Source organism: Homo sapiens, chromosome 1 (assembly GCF_000001405.40).
Source record: "Homo sapiens chromosome 1, GRCh38.p14 Primary Assembly".
In the NCBI taxonomy this organism is placed as follows: domain Eukaryota; kingdom Metazoa; phylum Chordata; class Mammalia; order Primates; family Hominidae; genus Homo; species Homo sapiens.
In genome coordinates, this window is record NC_000001.11 from 248,556,637 (window position 1) to 248,576,682 (window position 20,046).

Below are 20,046 nucleotides of genomic sequence, written 5' to 3' on the forward strand. Positions count from 1 at the left end.
TTAGGCAGCTAACAATTTTTAGCACAATAAAGCTCTACAAAAATCATTTTTCATGAAATTTTGCTACATTTCCTTTCACAAGGATGTTTTAAAGATAACCATCAAATGTGTCTATAATTATAATCCAGCAAATTGAGAGTTGACAAATGCTCTTTAATTCATACAAAGTTAGAGTATGCATTTTATATTGTCTGAGTTCAGGAAAAATATTAAAAACTAGTTCTCTCATATTTTTCCAAAGCACTACAGAATCTTTATATTATAGTCATAAAATAATTGAGTGTGGTGAGAGAAAAGAAGAATGTGTACTGTTGAAAACACCTGATTATTCGCAAGTTGTACATAGCCAATTAGGAAGTTATAGCATGCAGCTACCACATGTATGCTTTTAGGTAACAGGTTCAGCAGGCCCCACCTCAAATGCCCTCCTATCAGCCTATTCTCGGGTAAAGGCATGGTCGACTCCACTTAGATCAACATCATTTAGATCACCATTCTCATGTACCTGGTCTCTATGTTTTTGGTCTTGCACATCTCCAATTGATCACCACACAAATAACATTTCTAAAATACAAATCTGATCATTTCACTATTGTTTGTAAAACCCTGGGCCACACAAGGGCAAGAAATAAGCCTAACATGAAATAAGAAAGATCTACTGGGCATTGATCTCTCTCGCTTGCTCAGCCCTGTCTTTGCTCATGCTGTGCCTTTTCCCTTGCAGCGTGTCTCAGCAAGTTCCCCTGGCTCCAACATCACACACTCATCTGAGGGTAACTTTTCGTCACTATTCAGCACTGAGCCCCGGAGTCTCCTCTCAGCTCCTTGTTTGAACTCAGATGTCACAGATAGAATTAGTGTGTCCTTATGAGCTGCACCCTTCACACGAGTATCAAAACAGCTTATTTATTTTCTTACATTTGTTTGCATAAACAACTACATGTATTTTTCAAACTCCTTGGTAAAAGCCATGTGCTATTCAAAATTTAATCTTATTTAACTATTTTTAATTATAAAATAGTACAAAATGCTTGTTAAATAAATGAAGGATTGAATGTTGATGCCATCCCTCTGCTTGTTTGTATAACAAGTTACATGTTTGAAATCTCAGCTCAGGAATCACCCTGGGCAGGTAACCTTCCTTAAAACTCCTTCCACTCAGGTGTCATATTTTTTCTGCAGTCACTTATGTGGTCCTACATCCTCAATACACCACATGGCAGTAATTATTTCGGAGAGATAAATCCACTAGACGCCATCAGAATTGGACCATGCAGAAAAATGTAGCCCTCAATAAAGAAGGGGCGATGACTGGATTTTCTCGGTAATGATTAGATATAATGAAATGAGCATGATTTCTAAGATGTCACACTGCCACCAAGCAGAAAGGAGAATATTTTCAAAAAGGGAGAAAAGCCTGGTATTTAATTATTTGTAAATGATTTCAACTTCACAAAAATCATTAAAAAACAATAGTACAATTAATACCTATATACCCTTTACCCATACTCATGTGTGGCAGCAACATTGAACTCAGTTTGTTTCATTGCCCCTCTCTATCTCCCTCCCTCTTTCCCTCTCATCATTTGAACACCTCATGACCTTTTTGTCTCTAAATATTAAGTATTTCCTGAGGTTAAGAATATTTTTTCACAAAATTAGAGAACAGTTATCAACTTCCAAAAATGTTACATTAGTATAACACAATTGTAAAAGAATTTTGGATGGACAAAGACTATAAAATAGAGTTTCCACACAGTGAAAGAATTCCTCAAAATGAGATGAATATGAGATGAGGCATCATTGTATGAGAGTCTAAGGAATAACAGGGATAAAATCCTAAGTATCTGATGGGTAGAGAAAAGGAAAATAAATCTTTATATCCAAATTTCCTACTTTATAATTTCCTAAAGGACGAATCTCACAGTTAACATTTTCTTCAGAGCCCCCATGACATCCTTATTCCTAAGACTATAGATTAAAGGGTTCAGCACCGGAGTGAGGATGGTATAGAAGACAGATACCATCATGTCCTTCTCAGGGGTGTGGTAGGAGCTGGGGAGCATGTAGGTGTAGACGGCAGCCCCATAGAAGAGGATGACCACAGTCAGGTGGGAGGAGCAGGTGGCAAAGGCCTTTTTCCGGCCCTCTGCTGAGTTCATCCTGTGGACGGTGAGGAGGATGAGTAAATAGGAGCTTGAAATGATCGTCACAGGGATGAGGAGCATGAGGACACAGCATAGGTACATGAGGGTCTCATAGAGTGAGGTGTCTGAGCAGGACAGGATCGTTACAGCAGGGACTTCACAGAAGAAATGATGAATCTCCCAGGATCTGCAGAAGGGGAAGCTCATGGTGATGGGAGTGAGCATGAAGCCATCCACTGAGCCCAGGAACCAGCAGCCCGATGCCAGGAAAAGACAGACCCTATGGTTCATGAGGACAGGGTAACGGAGAGGATGGCAGATGGCCACGTAGCGGTCATAGGCCATGGTGGCTAGAAGGAAAAATTCCGAACCTGCTAGTGTCAGATAGAGGAACATCTGCATCCCACACTCAGGGGCTGAGACCTTATTCACACCCATGACCTGGTCCAGGAGCATCTTGGGCACAGTGACAGAAATGTACGCCATGTCCATGAGAGACAATTGACTGATGAAAAAGTACATGGGGCTGTGGAGGTGGGCGTCACAGTGTATCAGAAGGATCAGGACAGCATTTCCAGACAACGCCTTCAGGAAAACCACAAAGATGACCACACTAAGTAGAGCTGGATGTTTGGATTGTCTGAAGAGTCCCATGAGGATGAAATCCAACCTTCCAGTGTGGTTGGCCATCCTGGTGATGTTGGCCATGAGGTTTCACCTAGGCCACCAAGGAGAGTTTTGGAGTCAGTGTAACGCGTCCCTTTGTAATGAGTGTTTAGTGAGTACTCACATTTGTGTATGCTCATTGTGCTAACCTGAGTCCCGTGGGTCTGGGGATTTGAGTATATAAATGACATATAACAAATTCACAAAACAAACTAAGAATTCACAACTATAGGCCAGAAGAATTGGTAACTGATAGTAAGGTTGTCACGGTTCAAATTCATAAACTTTCCTGATGATAATGCCATTTATCAACAAGTACTGAAAATTTGCAGAACCTCCCTCCTCTGCTAACACAAACAGTGACTCATTGAAAGAAAGATAAAGCAAACTCCTTATTGTAGAGTTTTTGTCATAGACAGCTGAATTGAATCAACATCGCTGGTTTAAGAAACAATAGGCATCTTCAAAATACTCAGAGGTATATATGATATAAGAAAGATTTAGCAAGTAACTAAAGCGTAACTTGGAAAAAAAATTATGCCAGATGTTTGAACCTCCTCCTCCCATAGGATCAGGCCATGCTGTGAGGCTCTGTGATTGCGTGGAGCGAGCCTCACATTCTCATGAGCAGGGAAGGGTCCTCACACACAGCTGACCCTTTAGACATCGAGAGACGTGAAGTGAGGAGCCCACACACAGTAGACTCCAGCTATGGGTCCACCTTTTTCTCTGTCTGCCATTCCTTTCTCCAATCTACATCAAAAAGGATAAAAATCATGTTTGAGCTCAGGTGTGGTGAGGGTAAAATGAGGAAATGTAATGAAAGTGCTTAGAATAGTACAGTTTCCGATGAATAAACACATATACTCTTAGTGTAGATGTTAACTCTTTAAGCTAACTATTCTGCACAACCTACCTAAGAGATTGTTGCTACTATTATTATATAAGATATATTACTTCCATTCTCCAGATTCAGTACCTATTCATACATTTAAGAAGCTGACTTTCAAAATAAAAATGGCAGAAGTTCTGCAAAATAAAGCATATGACCCACTTTAAAAAAAAACAATTTGGATTTTATATTTGTGTGTTTATGTGTAAATACTCTGGTTTTATATAAATATATATAATATATTTATGTAAACATACACAGGTGAATATATAACTATAACATTTCTTATTTTAACCCTGGTTATGCAGAGCTTTTTGGAGACTCCTATGTCCTTCCTGCCTAGTATGTGGTCCTCCAACCTCATCTCCTTAAAGCTCCTCTCATTTTAAAGCTCATTAAATCTCAGCGAGGAAGAACTAGAATTTGGAGGGTCACTGCTGTTTATCAGACAAGGCTTTAGTTGTTTTTGCAAACCTCATGTGCTTTATTACTTGCCACAATCAATCTTTCATACAAACTGAGAAGCAGGGAGGAAAATCAAACAACACTGAGGCATCTGACTTCAACTCACTGTTTCTCCCTCTACCGTGACACTCACAGCCTGTGTTATACTGACGATGAATCGCCTCTGACTTCAACTCACTGTTTCCTTCTCTATCATGATACTCACAGCCTCTGTGTTATATGCAGAAGATGAATCAAAGAAAAATTGAACTTGAGTGCACTTAAGGAGGTCACAGTCAGTCTATTCAGGGAACAACTATTATGTAAATGTGATTTGAAGTTGAATTTTTAAATAGTTACAAAATAAATAAGGGCAATAGACACAAAATATATCTGGCCGTTCTGAAATAATCCATAATAGCTGTTTCCACATTTTCTCTGAAAGAAATTAAAACTTTCCAACTTTTCAACTTCTGACATATTAAATGTTAAATTTTGAGAGCCCTTGCCAAGAATAAGGACATAATAACTCCTCTTTCTGGGAAGACTTTAGCTGTGATTATGATGCAGGGACATTTTGGAATGAATTTACAAGTTTCAAATATATTTTGTATTCTTGTAGTAATTACAAAAAGTATTTAAGACATTCAACTCACCAAAACTTCCAACATTCTGGGATGCTTCGGTGCTTTAATATAAATATCCAACAAATCTGAGACACATTTTATGTACATATGTATATATATGAATAGATGATGATGATAGATAGATAGATAGATAATGTGTATCAAACACTACCCCTACTGGCAAATGGTGGCTGAGATCTGTGTACAATTTAAAAACATTCCAATAAACTGCAAAACACACCTGCTGACCTCGTCCATTATTTGTGGCCAAAGTGAAGCAAGGACCAGAGGAGCGACCAGCACATGTGAAGACCTAAAAGGTGTTTGCTCAGTAAATTGAGGGGGAGCAGGAGGGCAGGGAGATGCGGGGTTTCCTAAGAAATCTCTGCTGCTCTTTAGGAAATGGCCATCACTATCATTAAGCCACTATCATTAAGCCACTATCAACAGCTCAACCAGGACACGGGACAGATAAGGGAACACTATCCACACACAGTGAACTGGCCCCCTGTTCATTCTTCTTCTGTACCCGCTTGTTTGACTTTCATGTAAATTGCTTAATGCATGTTTAACTTGGGGATTTATTATAAGTATAAATGGAGTCAAACCTTTATTTGAAGCATACAGCATCCCAGGAATTGTTCTAATACTAATACTAAAATTAATACTTTACATTTCTTCTTTCCCAAGAGCCTATGAGTTACTTCCTATTATTTTCTCTCTTTACATATTAAAAAATGCAGGTTCTCAGGGTACCTGCCTAATATCACACACCTAACCTGAGATAGAACGCACGTCTCAGCCCGAGAGTGAGAGCCAGCGCACGTAACTCTGCCTGATTCCTCTCAGGGACACCATCCTCCCTCTGCAGTCTACACTTTGGATTTAGGCCACTGTCTGTGGGTTTCATCAAGGAAACATAAAATGATTGAGACATTGTTTCTAGTGTTTTGTAACCCTCAGAAATAATCCCCTCTCAAAAGAAAATCAGTCACTTTTCCTCTATAAAACTTCAGTGACAGGAAAATAAATACATCATTGTATGAAAATCTAAAACTATAGAATATATATTATTATGTCCATAAATAATTGGAAATTAAAAATCCATTTACCATTATGTCACAGTAAATAAGTGTTGTATAGAAGTTATAAGAAAGAATAACATTTGCTTTTCTCCATTAAAAACAGATGATAAAGAAAAAATGAGGAAATGCTGTGAAGAACTAATAGAACGTTTCAGAAGCAGAACAAGTCGAGAGCAGTGATGACCCTTTTGTTCCTGCTAGTACCTCCTGTCTGTCTGGCCGAACTCACCATCAGATGATGTCTTGAACCTCACCTAGATGGGCTGGTGGTGTGTGGCCAGGTTAAGAGCACCAACAGGAGTAAGAAAGTGACCTGCCTGGTTTTACCGTGTGTACTAGGGGAGGGGTTGAAAGCTTTCGGTTGATACATCACCTCTGGGAGTTGAAGAAGAATGCAATTAAGAGAGCTAAAGAAGTCAGTAGGTATCTCTCCTGAACAATTCTGGTTTTCTTCTAATAGCTTTTACAATTTTTACCTCTGTTATGAAATGCAAACTTTTAACCAATATTAGTAATAGTAATCTCAAATCTCATCATCATCAAAATCTTATTTATGAAATATAGGAGTTAGTTCATATACAGCCTTAGCCTTTTCCACATTATAAAATATATTCCATATATATGTGTGATCTTCATTTAATATTCAAGTAAATGTTGTAAGATATTGTTATTTTTATTCTAACATTTCACAGGTATAGAATCTGAAACTCAGAGGTCAACTGATGTGTCAAAGATACCTCCACAAATCAGTACCTTGATTAAAACTAAAATTGGAGTCATCTTCATATCTCCATCTTTCTCCCTCTTCATTAGGACCGATTGTAGTCTGTTTCCCTCTCACTCACTTGCAATCTTTATTGCTTTAGTGTTGCATTTGATTTTTATCTTTGTTTTTGTTTTAAATACTGTCATTAAAGTCATAGAAAAATCTAAAATAAAACTGGTTGAATAAAAATTTTAAAATCGACTCTAATGTAATAAACCAGACAAAAATGATACTTTAAATGTTATATCTTCCCTTTAAACTACAAATATTCATTGAGTGTATACCCTGTATTAGGCTGTTGGAATAAAACAGGGAAGAAGACAGAAGAAACTGCACCGCCATCTTAGATCTTGCAGCCAAATTCCTCTGAACTTTTCTCTAAAGACGTGCTCTGGAAAAATGTTGATCATTTTCCTACATCATGGAGGTCTTTTCATGACCACCTTTGTCTAGACAATGTCCTGTTTTTAGGTGCACGTTTGAGGGCTGGAGTCTCTGACCCACAGTGCTGCAGCCTGCACGTGGTTTGTCCTGACTTCTTTGCTACTTCACTTTTCGTAAGGCTCTGAGAGTGCAGGCCCTTGTGGGTGGACACTGCAGGGTGAGAGGAAGAAGTAAACTACTTTTTTCCGTTTCTGATGGGGGTGTGGGTCAGCAGCTATAAGCAACAGGGACCATGGGGGGCCTCAGACTTCAGCACCTGAGAGGCAGTTTCAGTCGTATTGGGGAGATGCAGGCATCTGGGTTGCTGCACATCACCAGGGCAGGGTTCTCTCAGCAGCCCTGGAGTGCAGAGTTCCCATCAGCTCAGCAGTGAGGGGCACATGGGGCTCCAGTGGTGAGGACTCTTGGTCCTTGGATGACAACACTCCCCTGCCCACTTCTCCAGCCTTCCCTGTAACCCTTTGCCACCTCTAACCAATCTTCTGTGTTACATCTCTTCGGTTTGCAATATGTAGTGTTCGTATATGACTGGACAGTATCTACTGGAGTTAATATCTATCAGAGTAATTATATCACAATTGCAATCTTCTCCTAAGAGTGAATAGTGACATTAAAAATTTCAACATTATAAATTATGCAGAAATAAAACTAATTATACAAAAAATACACTCTGAATGTCAGTTTTTCCCTGAGACAATCTACCATTTGATATACGGTGATTCACACTTCTTAATATACAACATTGAATTACTTTTCCAAAAGCCTCTTCAAATTTTGCTGCAGAATTAAACTTCACTTGCACCAGCTCTGAATTATGTGTGCTTTTCCTTCTTGGTCAATTTCATAGGTGTATCATTATTTGTCTTTTTTAATTAATATGTTTATATAACTTTTCATGTTTATCCATGTAACTACTGCTTTTGTGAAACGTGTGTTTTTATCCTTTTCACATTTTTTTCTATTGAAATGTTTTCTTTATAAATATAAATGTGTTTTTGGTATGAAAATAATAACTGGCCAGATGCGGTGGCTCACACCTGTAATCCCAGCACTTTGAGAGGCCGAGGTGGGTGGATCACCTGGCCTCAGGAGTTCGGGACCAGCCTGGCCAGCATAGTGAAACCCCATCTCTACTAAAACTACAAAATTAGCTGGCGTGGTAGCACGTGCCCTGTAATCCAAGCTACTTGGGAGGCTGAGACAGGAGACTCAGTCGAACCTAGGAGGCAGAAGTTGCAGCAAGCCAAGATCACGCTATTGCACTCCAGCCTGGGCAAAAAGAGCGAAACTCTGTCTCAAAAAGAAGAAAAAAAATAGTAACTCTTTGTGAATAGTATCAACTAAAATATTTATATTTCAGTTTTCATTCTGATATTTTGTTTCATCAGAATTTTTTAAAGTATTTTGTTTAATATATTAACTTTAATAATTTCATTAACTGTCTCGTGCTTACAAAGTCTTTATGCATTTGGGGATTATGTAAAGCATCTACCTTTACACTTTTAATGAGTTTCAGAGGTTTTTTGGTACCTTTGAGTTATAATACAAAAATAATTTATTTGGGTGTGATATGCAGTGAATTGCTAACATTATTGCTTTTAATTAAAGATTAAATTCCAATGTTGAATGATATTTTCTTTAATTTCAAAAATAATTAGTAACTGTTCCAGGCACTATCTAGGTTTATGATGTTTGAAACAAAGATTCTTCCCACACAGCATTTATATACTAGTGGTAAATACAGGCAATAAACTAATAAATATGTAATGAAATATCAAGTATTAATAATCACAGTGAATAAAAAATAAAGGCAGAGAGATGAGATAGGAATGATTAGCGAATCTATTTAACACAGGCTAGTTAGGAGCCCTTTATTTAGAAGGTGAAATTTCATCAGATCCGTAAATGAAGCAATGGAGTCACTCGTAAACAACGGGGCAGAGATGTTTAAGCAGAGGAAACAGAGAAAGTTAAAAGCTGTGAGACTGAAAGTAACTTGCAACGTTTGAACAGCAGCAAGAAGATCTGTGGCCCCAGATTGAGGTGAGAAAGTTGGCAAAACAGAAAATGGGGTTAGAAATGGAGCCAAGAACAGGTCGTATAATATCATGATGGTCCTGGGAAGGACCAGGGACAGGCAGAGGTGTGTTTAAGAAAGGGAAGACAAAAGTATACACGGCACTCAAGAGAGTGCATGTGCACTTAGAAAAAGAAAGGAAGTCTCAGCCAATGTTTGGCCCCTGTCTTCTAAGAACTCTTCAGGAAGTTTACCAGGCATGCTCACAGTCTGTTCTGACTGTAGCCTGGCTTCCCCTCCCCACCCCACCCCACCATACAACTCCCAGCAACAGACAGCACTCAGAGAATCTCCAGAGAGTGAAGGGCCCCAAAGCTTTGACTCTCCTTGCTTCTTGGTTAATCCCACTCTGAGATATCACTGGAGGACGGACAGAGAGGAAAGACATTTGGAACAGGTATATGATTATCACTGAGAAGGCTTGAGCGAGAATGCAGGAAAGGGTTTGAGCTAGTCCTGATGAGACATATGGTGTCTGGGCAAGGGGTGTGGTGGAGGAGGAGAAGTTGGATTGCCGTTTATACACACAGGAATATTGGGGCTGGGCAGGTTGGCATGGAACGCTGAAACTGAAATTTGGGACTCCAGTTGCCCAGTACACATCTACATGAAGATGATGCAAGGCTAGTGTATACACGAATCCAGAGTTCATAAGAGAAGGCAGTCCTAAAATCATGGTTTTGAGAACCAGTGTGTGTGGAGGAAACAACGGGATCGCACAAGGAAGGAGGGTCAACATCTTATACCAGAAGCCAGTGCAGGGGAGGCTAAGTTTCCACATTATCTCTTCTTTTCCATTGGTCTTTCACTGAATTCCTTTAAAATATCTTGTTTTATTGGGTGTCCCCTCATGATAATTTTAAACAACTAGTGAAACAATTCTTGTCTTCATGTATGTTCATGTTCAAAATAAGCAAGTTTTTGTTTTTCCTTTCAGTTGATCTATTTGGCTAGGTTCAAAAGATCTAACTAATTGTATTGATTAGAATACAATGAAATACATTTGGGAAGAATTGATATTGTTAAAATGTTGCAGATTTTTATAAACAAGCACAATAGGTCTCACAGAGATATCCAAATACTTAGAGGTCGGGTCTGGATTTTGAAGTAATTTTAATAAAATTCTTCCACAATAATTGAGATTCTGAGATATTTTTATAATTTAATTTTTTGGAGAATATTTTTCATTTAAAAATACTTAAAAAGCATTAACAGTGACAGAAAAGCTATTGATATATATTTTTTCAACATTAATATTTATGGTGGAAACCCTGCTTAAAGTTCTACTTTTTTTTTACATTTTAAATGTAAACTGAGAAAATATTTATAAAAACAAAAATAACATTTTAAGAATTAAACTATAAATATATAAAACATGTCAAACATTTTGTAAATGATCCTGAAGGCACCATCAGAGATATAAAGAAATGCAAGATACATGCACAGAACAAAGGAAGAGGGGCCACCACCTTTATGGACTGGAGGTCAGGATATCAAGCCAAAGAGGACCTCAAGTCCTGAAATCTAACGAAACTTGCCCTGCCAGGCTTCAAGTTTGCTTTGGCTCTAAGACTTCTATTTAACTTCCAATTTCTCTTTTTCAGAATAGGAATGTCTATCCTATATGTGAGTGTCACTGTTGCATTTTGACAGCAGATAACTTGCTGTCTGGTTTCACAGGTTTTAAATTAACTTATTGAGTAAAATCTAAGTTGAATAATGTGCTAGAGAAATATTCTTAATACAAAGAGATTAAAAACATTAGCAAGATGTTTGAAGAGGAGCTCCTATAATCGTATCCCCTCAAAGCAGCAATAATATAGCAGCCTGTCTGGCACAAAAGTCCCTTGGTGGGAACTTCTGGATCTTGACAGGAAGTGTCAAAACTGGTGAATCCCAACACTGAAGAGAGCTATTTTGAGAAGGCAGGGCCACACCCAGGTGGCAGGCTCACTGACTGTGGTCCTGGCTACAGACACAGAATTAACATCCCTCTGGACTCAGCTAGTGCCCTGTTTGGCATTGGTCCTGCCACCTGAACCATCTGCCAAGGGGCCCAGGGGCACTCACATTGACCAGTACCCTCAAGTAACAGGCCTGCTAACCTTAGTTCTAGCTCTGAACCCTGAAGCAGTCCATGACCCAGCTCCAGTCCCCCTCAGCCATGGTCTGGGAATAGACCTTCCTGCACAGAGACCTGCCAGGAGGCAACCCTGTTCATGTGCCTAGAGGCAGGCTCTCAAAACTACGTCCGACTGCCAATCTTGAAGCAGCTCTGTTACTTGGCACCCTTTTCCATTGTTCAAAAGCAGTCCTGCCCACTCAGTGACCTCCTGGGTGACACATTGATCGATGCCCCTGTAAACAAGACTGCTGACATCAGTCAGCTGGAGATCCTGAATCAGCCCTCTTATCCAGCTCCAGCTTCCATTCAACCACAGCTTGGGGATATCTTATATCTTATATTTACAGGGACTATGCAGGAGGTACACCCATCCATGCAGGACAGAAGACCTCAGACTCAGCTGTGGTCCATGACACAGCCCTGAGACTCAGTTCCAGGTCCTCTCAACTGTGGTCTGGGGACAATCCTTCTTGCCCAGAGACTTTCCCACCAATATAATGGGAGTCCTTCAAGGGACTCAATAGAATCCACACCCATTTCTGTACCTCGTAAGAGGCATGCCATCTACAGAACCAAATGTGAACCCTGAAGCAGAGTGTCCTAGCGATAGCCCTATTGACCAAGGTACTAGAGGCAGTCTTCTCTACCAAGAGACCAGACAGGATTTATACTCAACTCGACTTCTGGTAACAAGCTTGCCAACTAAAAATTCTGCTGTAGACTCAGGAGTAGCCACATGACATGGCTCTAACCCTGCTCAACTGCAGTCCTGGAGGTAATTCTTATTAGCCTAGAGAAATGACAGGAGAATGTCTTTACCTACCGAAACCAGTCTATGCAGACCAGAAGAGCTGTTTGCAACTTCAAATGTGCACACATCAATGCATAGCTACTTGAGTCACAAAAAATCAGGCAAATGTGACACCAAAGTAATAAATAAATACCACCAAAGTAATAAAGCTTCATTAAGCAACCCCAAGGAAATGGAAATCTATGAATTGCCTAAGAATTTTAAAATCATATTAAATAGGATCAAAGAGCTTCAAAATAGCAGAGATCTAAAACTAATAAAAAAATGCATAAACAAAATGAGAAATATAATAAAGACATTGACATCATAAAAGGAAAGAATTCTTGTGCTGAGAAGATTTGTAGTCAAATTTGGAACACTCTAGTACTGTAATGGAGGTGTGTAAATCTCGTTAACTTTAGTGTAAAGCTTGTAAAATATTCTGAATACAATTATGGAAGTGAGAAGGTCAACAGAGTACTTTAATAACATATTTCATCATACAGCGAAAGGAAGCAATGAACTTGAGTTTAGATCATACAGTTAGAGGAACAAAAAAAATAAAATGCAGAAGCATCTGGGAACTATAAGACAACATCAAGCAAATATATATGTGTATTATGACATTCACAGAAGGAGAAGAGAGAAAAACAGAAAGCTAAAATGACAACATTTCCTAAATTTGTGAGGGATAGGGACATGCAGATTCATAAAGTTCAAAGGAACCCAAGCAAGAACAAACCAAAACATTATACCTGAGACATATTATGATCAGTTTGTCAAAAGTCAAAGACAATTCTATAATTTGGAAAAATATGGATGAGCCCAGAGGACAATATTTTAAATAAAATAAGCCTGGTATAGGACAAATATTGCACAATTTCATTTATATGTGAAGTGTCCAATAGTCAAACACATAGAAACAAAGAATAAAATGGTGGTTACCAGAGTTTGGAGTGAGGAAGGAAAAGAGAAGATGTGGGTCAAAGGATACAAAATTTTATTTAAGCAGGAGAAATAAGTTCAGGAGGTTTATGGTACATCATGCTGACTACAGTTTCAACAATTATGTACTTGAAAATTGCTAAGAAAGTAGGTATAAGAGTACTCAGCACATGAAATGATTACTTGAACCCAGGAGGCGGAGGTTGCAGTGAGCCGAGGTCATGCCACTGCACTCCAGCCTGGGCAACAGAGTAAGACTTTGTCTTAAAAAAAAAAAAAAAAAAAAACTCCCAAGAAAAGCCTAGGACTAGAAGACTTCATGATGAATTCATCCAAGCACTTAAAGAACTAACACATATCCTCCTCTGATTTTTTCAAAACATTGAAGGGCAAAAACACTTCCAAATTCATTTACTGAAGCCAACATTACCTTTAAACCAAAGCCAGATAAGAACACTAACTCCCAAAATATTATAGGTCAATATTCCTGACAAACAGCTTTCATAATTTTTGGTAAAAATTAACAAAATACTAACAAACCAAAGCAGTGCATTAAAAGGATACTTCACCTTAATCAAGTGGGATTATTCCTAGGATGTATAAACCAAAAGTATGTCAGACAGGTCTCAATCAGATTGAAAGTTTATTTCACCAAGGTAAAGGACATGCTTGGAAAAAAGAACACAATTACAGAAACAGTCTGTGGTCTGTGCTTTTCTTTAAAGATAATTTTGAGGACTTTAATATTTAAAGGGGAAAGCAGGCTAGAGGGGAAAGAGGGAGAGTATGATAATCCACAGGTTGCAAGAAGAAAAGAAGCAAAGAAGCAGGTAGGTGAATAGTCATTTATGTATTCCTTTCACACTCAGTAGAAGGATCATCGCTTTACGTCAGGTAAGGAGAATGTGGAGTTACTGCCTGTTACTCTAACATTTTATCAGTAGTTAACTGATTAGGAACAAAAAACAAAAACCAAAGGAAATGCAGTTTCTTGCATAACTCAGCTTTCAGCTTAGTATCTTTTTTCCTTTTGGCATAGTAAATTGGGGTCCCAAGTTTTTTTCCCACAGATGCAAAGATGGTTCAACATACACCAATCAATAAATATGATATGCCACATTAACAGAATAAATGACAAAAACAATTGTGCATCTCAATAGACATAGAAAAAGCATTGGATAAAATTCAACATCTTTTCATGATAAAAACTCAGCAGATTTGTTATAGAAGGAATGTGCCTTTACATAATAAATCTCACAGCTAAATCATACTCGATGGAGAGAAACAGATTTTCCGCTAAGATCAGGAAGAAGACAAGAGTGCTCACTCTCACTGCTTCTATTCAACATAATACCGGAAACTAGCCAGAGCAATTAGGCAATAAAAAGAAAGAAAAGGCTTTCAAATCAGAGGAAGTTAAATTATCTTGCCATCTGTTTGCAGATGACATGATTTTACATATAAAAAACTCTAAAGACTCCACCAAAATCCCATCAGAGTTAAAGAATTCAAGAAACTTGCAGGATACAAAATAAACATATATAAATGAGTTGTATTTCTATACACCAAAAAGGAACCATCCAAATATGTAATTAAGAAAAGAATACCATTCCCAATACCATCCAATAGAATAAAATACATAGGAATAAATACAGCTGAGGGAGTGAAAGATCTGTTCACTAAAGAGGAGATAAATAAGTGGGAGGATATCTCATGTTAATGGGTTAGAATAACTAATATTCTTTAAATGTCCATATTACTCCAGAAAATGTCTGATTCAGTATAACCCCAACTAAAATTCCACAGGCATTTTTTACATAAATAGAATAAAACAACTCTAGAAATTTTGTGAATGCACAAAAATATCAAATAGCCAAAGCAATATTGATAAAAAGAACAAAGCTGGAGGCTTGACTCCGATTTCAAACTATATTACAAATTATAGAAATAAAGCCATGCTTATATGGTCAATTAGTCTTTGATGAGGGTGCCAAAAATGCAGCATGAAGAAAGGATAGTCTGTTCAATAAATGGCATTGGGAAAACCAGATACATACATGCAGAGGAACGAAATTGGACTCTTATCCTACACTATTCCCCCAAAACCAAATCTAAATGGATCGAAGACTTAAATGGAAGACCTGGACTTGTAAAAGTCCTAGATGATGACATAGGGAAACAGCTCTTTGACATTGATCTTGGCCGTGATATTTTTGATATGACACAAAAATTAAGGCAACAAAAGCAAAATAAGCAAGTAGGACTGCATCAACATGCAAAAACTTTTGCACAGAAAAGGAAACAATAAAATGAAAAGGTAATCTCTGCAATGGGAGAACATATCTGCAAACCATATTTTGGATAAGGAGTTAGCATCCAAAATATAAAAGAAACTGACAAAATCATTAGCAAATATCAAATTACCCAACTTAAAAATGGTAAAGACAGTGTGAATAGGCATTTTTCCAAAGAGGCAATACAAATAGCCAACAGGTGAATGAAAAGATGTTCAACATCACTAATCATCAGGGCCACACAAATCAAAACCACAATGAGATATCAGCTCACACCTGCTAGGATGGCTATTACCAGGCAATACATAGCAAGTGCTGTCAAGTGTGTGTAGGAAATGGAACACTTGTACATGTGCATTGCTGGTAGAAACGTAAGTTGCAACAGCCTGTGTTGAAAGCTGTATGACAGTTCTATAAAGATTAAAAATAGAGCTACTCTATAATTCAGCAATCCCACTCTGTACACCTTCCTGAGGTAAATAATTATATAAATAATATAATGACAACATAAGAACATTGTTAAATTAGTCATCTGTGGTGTCCATTTGAGCAGTTTTGCCCATTTATTTAATTACAGCAATTTCTGAAACCAAATTTTACCTACCTCTAACAACCCCCTCTTACAAGTGATATTTCTGCACCACTTGGTGGAATTTACTTCCAAATTCAGATCTCTGTACACAAACTCAGACAAACTCCTTTCATGCACTGCAGGAATAATTTTCAGTGAGAAGCAAAAGTGTTCGGTCGATGTGTCATGTAAAGCAAGTACTTGTCATTTCTCTCGAAGATGCGATAGGCATGGGAACACCTGGCTTCCATTCATTGTCGGTAAATCAGGCATGGTCAGGGCTGTGCCAAGGGGAAGTAAATTAACAGCTTCACGATACAGCTCGAGATTCAGCTTCTTGCATATTAATTAGAACAAATGTATTTCTTTCCTAATTTCTCACGTTCCAGAAATACTACACCCATGAATTATTTTGTTAATGAAAATGATAGTGATCTGATGCTCATAGATTTACAGAAGTTACGTTTGTAGCATGATATACATCTGGCAAACTAAAGGTTAGTGACAAGTTTATAACCATTTTGCTGGTTTTCCCAGTTTCAGAAGAAACATGCCGAGGGGGTTAAGCTTTCCTAAGTCTCCATTATCGCACGCGACTGTTATGATATTTATTGTAAACATAGTAGACCATTGTCTGGAATAGACTAAATCCTAAAGAAACTAAATCTGGAACTACTTTTATTTACATACTATGAAATAGATGAACCTATTCTTTGAATTTTGAAATGGATTCATTTTTGGTTTAGGTGGTTCCAATGGCCAATGCTAAAACTACTGGTGTTTACACTACAAAGTTCACTTCAGCCTTTGGAGAAAATGCGTTTCTTTGTACTTACTGAGATACAATAGCAGAAACACTGACCCCAGTGGCTGCCAATGTGAACCGAGGTTTACAATGTATTGCAAAGGGAGGGAGCAGCCAATACTCCTCCTCTAGGGCTCTGCTAGGATTCTAAGTCTTTACAATGAGTCTCTTCGAGGGGTAAAGTGTTTAAGACCAAGTCTCATACTAAAATGCTCAATGAACCTGGGATGGGAGATAAGATAAAAGGCACTCTATAAGGTCTTTCATAGGTCAGCTACTGCAGTGCAGTTAAAAACACTCTAAAGATATTAAATCTAATGAGATAAATGGGAGCAATAAGCAGTATGGAGGGAAAACGCCACGTATAAGAAAGAAGGAAAATATGAGTGGGCTTTGTGCTGGGGACCCGGAGACCTGAGGGCAAAAGAGAGGAGAGATAGGGAGTAACGGAATTATAGAAAGAGGAGGGGACAATGCTTGTCCTTTACTACTTTTCTTGGTTCATTCTTGACTGCATCATGCTCCTCAGAGCCCTGGTGACATCTTTGTTGCGGAGACTGTAAATGAGGGGGTTCAGCACAGGAGTGAAGATGGTGTAAAAGGCAGACACCATCATGTCCTGCTCAGCTGTGTGGTAGGAACTCCGGAGCATGTAGGTGTAGAAGGAAGCACCGAAGAGCAGCAGCACTATGATCATGTGGGAGGAGCAGGTGGCCAAGGCCTTCCTGCGGCCGGCGGCAGAATTCATCCTGTGGATGAGATGCAGGATGAGGGTGTATGAGCTGGAGATGACCATGATGGGGGTGAGAAGCATGAGGATGCAGCACAGGTACGTGAGCATCTTATAGAGGGAGACGTCAGAGCAGGAGAGCTTCAGCAGGGCAGGAGTCTCACAGAAAAAACTCAGGATTTTCCTAGACTGGCAAAAGGGGAAGCTCATGGTAATGGGGGTGAGCAACAAACCATCAACCATTCCCAAAACCCAGCAGGCTGACACCAGGAGCTGGCACACCCTCTGGTTCATCAGCAGTGGGTAATGGAGAGGTCTGCAAACAGCAGCATATCGGTCATAGGCCATGGCAGCCAGGAGGAAAACCTCAGCTCCAGCCAGGGTCAGGTGGAAGAACATCTGGATCCCACAGCCTGACGGGGAAATGGTATCATCTCCAGTGACCTGGCCCACAAGCATCTTGGGCACAGTCACGCATAGGTACATGAGATCCATGAGCGCGAGCTGGCTGATGAAGAAGTACATGGGGGTGTGGAGGCGGGGCTCTGAGTGGATGAGGAGGATGAGGAGGGCATTCCCAGTGAGGGCCATCAAGAAAAGAAGGAAGGTCACGGTGTAGAGGAGGGCAGCATGCTTGCTCTCAGCAAAGAGTCCCGTGAGGGTGAAATCAGTGCTTGCTGTTTGATTCTGAGAAGTCTGATTCCCTGAGCACATGACTGGCTCACAGTTTCCCCCTGAGGAAAAAAAAGTCATTAATTTTAAATCTTTCCTATGTACATGGCTTTCCTAACCTTTTTCTGGTAAGACATGTGCTTTGAATTATTTTTCTAAATATTGAGTTAAACTGACATAAAATCATAAGTTCAAATCTTAGGTCAAGTCGCATGTTGGCCACAAGCTAAAGTGAACTACGAAACAGATCTGGGGAGGTGACTATTCCTGAGCTAAGTCAAGAGTGAAGACAGGTACACTCTATGTCTTATTTCCCCCCAGAATTAAGAACACAAGTATACTGGCCTTGTGGGATGGTTAGAGACTGAAGTAGGGAATGCACGTTAGGTCTGTAACACAGTGTTAGTGTTGGGTTGAGATTTTCACTACTTTTTGGATACAGTAGCTCATCCAGGACTCAGTGATGGAAATCATGGCTGATAAGGTTAATATTAATATTGTTAATGGTACAAATATCATAACTAATACCATGAAATAATCTGAAAACTGGAAATCTCCTTAAATTTCTTCTACCATTATATATCTCCATTTAAGTCCACTTTCCTCATGAAAACTTTTCAATTTATTCTGCTATTCCTCACAAGGTTGCATTCCATAAGTAGTGCTGACTGGGGCAGAGGAGCAGAGGGAGAGTCCCGCCTGCCTGAGGAGAGTAGCTTGGAGTGCAGAACGAGTGCCGAGCAGGAGAGCAGCAGTAGGCACAGTGAGCCCTCTTCCCAGTCCCCAGTGAAATCTAAGGCATTTAATTTATTAACTGTCAGGCAGAGAAATATTTTTACAAGAAATCACAGCAATAAATGCTGCAGATGCCCTAAATATCAAGTATTTATTTGAAATATAAACAAAATATTTATTTTCAAAATGCCATATTTATCCCCCAAAATCATGCCTAAAATGTCCAAAATTCCGTGCATGGTGATTGAAAAATGAAGTTAAAGCACATGAGGCAGTTGTGTTGAATCTTTCATAAAACCGCAGCCCTGCAACCAAGCCTAGGGATCCTCTTGTCCTGCATCTCCTTTGCATAACAAACTAATCACCACCCCCTCCCATAAATTCATAGCTTTGCTCAGTGACTGCTTTGTCTGAATATTTCAGTTTTAATTTTCCAGTTGAATTGTTTCAATCATGCTTGATACAATTGTCTCAAAGTTAAAAAGCCCACTAACTTCTAGACTAATGAAGAGTCAGGAGCTCCATGACTGAGGTTTGGTCATCCTCAGGGTTGCTGTACTGCAGGTTAGAGAAATAATGCTGAGGAAAAAACTAACAGTGACTGAGGCACGTGGAAATGCAAAGTGAAATACAACGCACTGTTCCTAGGGCAAAAAAAAAAAAAAAAAAAAAAAAAAAAACAACAACAAAAACAAAACCATACACACAAAACAAGAGACCAAAAAAAAAAAACAAAACCTGGGACTTCAGGAAACCTAAAGTCAGAATTACAAAGAGCTAGCAACAAGAGTCAGGTATCTTTGTTCCTTACTTATCCCCTTTATAAAGCACTGAAGAAACGGGTTATCAAGACACCTTTCCACAAAGAGACGAACATTGCACATAGAGCACAAACCATTTGCTCCACCTCTTCTGCTCCATCAGAGAATAAATCTAAGCCACGCCAGCTCAGTGAAGCTGCTTTCACCATTCTAAGGCCAAAGCAAAGGGGTTTAAATTCAGAATGAAAATGAGAAAATTACATCATCAGTTTCTTCACATTAGGGAATTGAGATGAGTGTTTATTGCTTAATTCTTTGCACCGTTTTCCCTTTTTTTTTTCTGCTTATTCATCTTCCCTGTACTTGGCATTGTCTCTTCCCTGGAGCTTCTACTTTCTTTAAGACCATCTCAGAATCCATTATTTTGGTATTTTTGTTTTGTTTTGCTATTTGTTTTTGATAGTTATATTC

General features: G+C 38.9%; 2 protein-coding genes and 1 long non-coding RNA gene across 3 annotated transcripts; 1 reads left to right on the top strand and 2 right to left on the bottom strand.

Annotated features, from left to right (window-relative positions):
- Positions 1-275: 275 nt before the first annotated feature.
- OR2T29 (olfactory receptor family 2 subfamily T member 29) lies at positions 276-6,136 on the bottom strand. Its single transcript, NM_001004694.3, has 2 exons — positions 6,090-6,136; positions 276-2,865 (listed from the first exon to the last, which is right to left on the bottom strand). Exon 2 carries the CDS (start codon positions 2,853-2,855, stop codon positions 1,908-1,910), a length of 948 nt encoding a protein of 315 aa, NP_001004694.2. The 5' UTR covers positions 2,856-2,865; positions 6,090-6,136; the 3' UTR covers positions 276-1,907.
- Positions 5,968-8,690, top strand: LOC124904576 (uncharacterized). Its single transcript, XR_007067007.1, has 2 exons — positions 5,968-6,279; positions 6,553-8,690. It is a non-coding gene; the product is annotated as an uncharacterized LOC124904576 (long non-coding RNA).
- Positions 8,691-17,164: 8,474 nt separating this feature from the next.
- OR2T34 (olfactory receptor family 2 subfamily T member 34) lies at positions 17,165-18,121 on the bottom strand. Its single transcript, NM_001001821.1, has one exon. It carries the CDS (start codon positions 18,119-18,121, stop codon positions 17,165-17,167), a length of 957 nt encoding a protein of 318 aa, NP_001001821.1.
- Between the last annotated feature and the right edge of the window lie 1,925 nt (positions 18,122-20,046).

Bases quoted from the DNA above. Each gene is read 5' to 3' on its own strand.
- OR2T29 (NM_001004694.3), bottom strand. From the start codon at position 2,855: ATGGCCAACATCACCAGGATGGCCAACCACACTGGAAGGTTGGATTTC.
- OR2T34 (NM_001001821.1), bottom strand. From the start codon at position 18,121: ATGTGCTCAGGGAATCAGACTTCTCAGAATCAAACAGCAAGCACTGAT.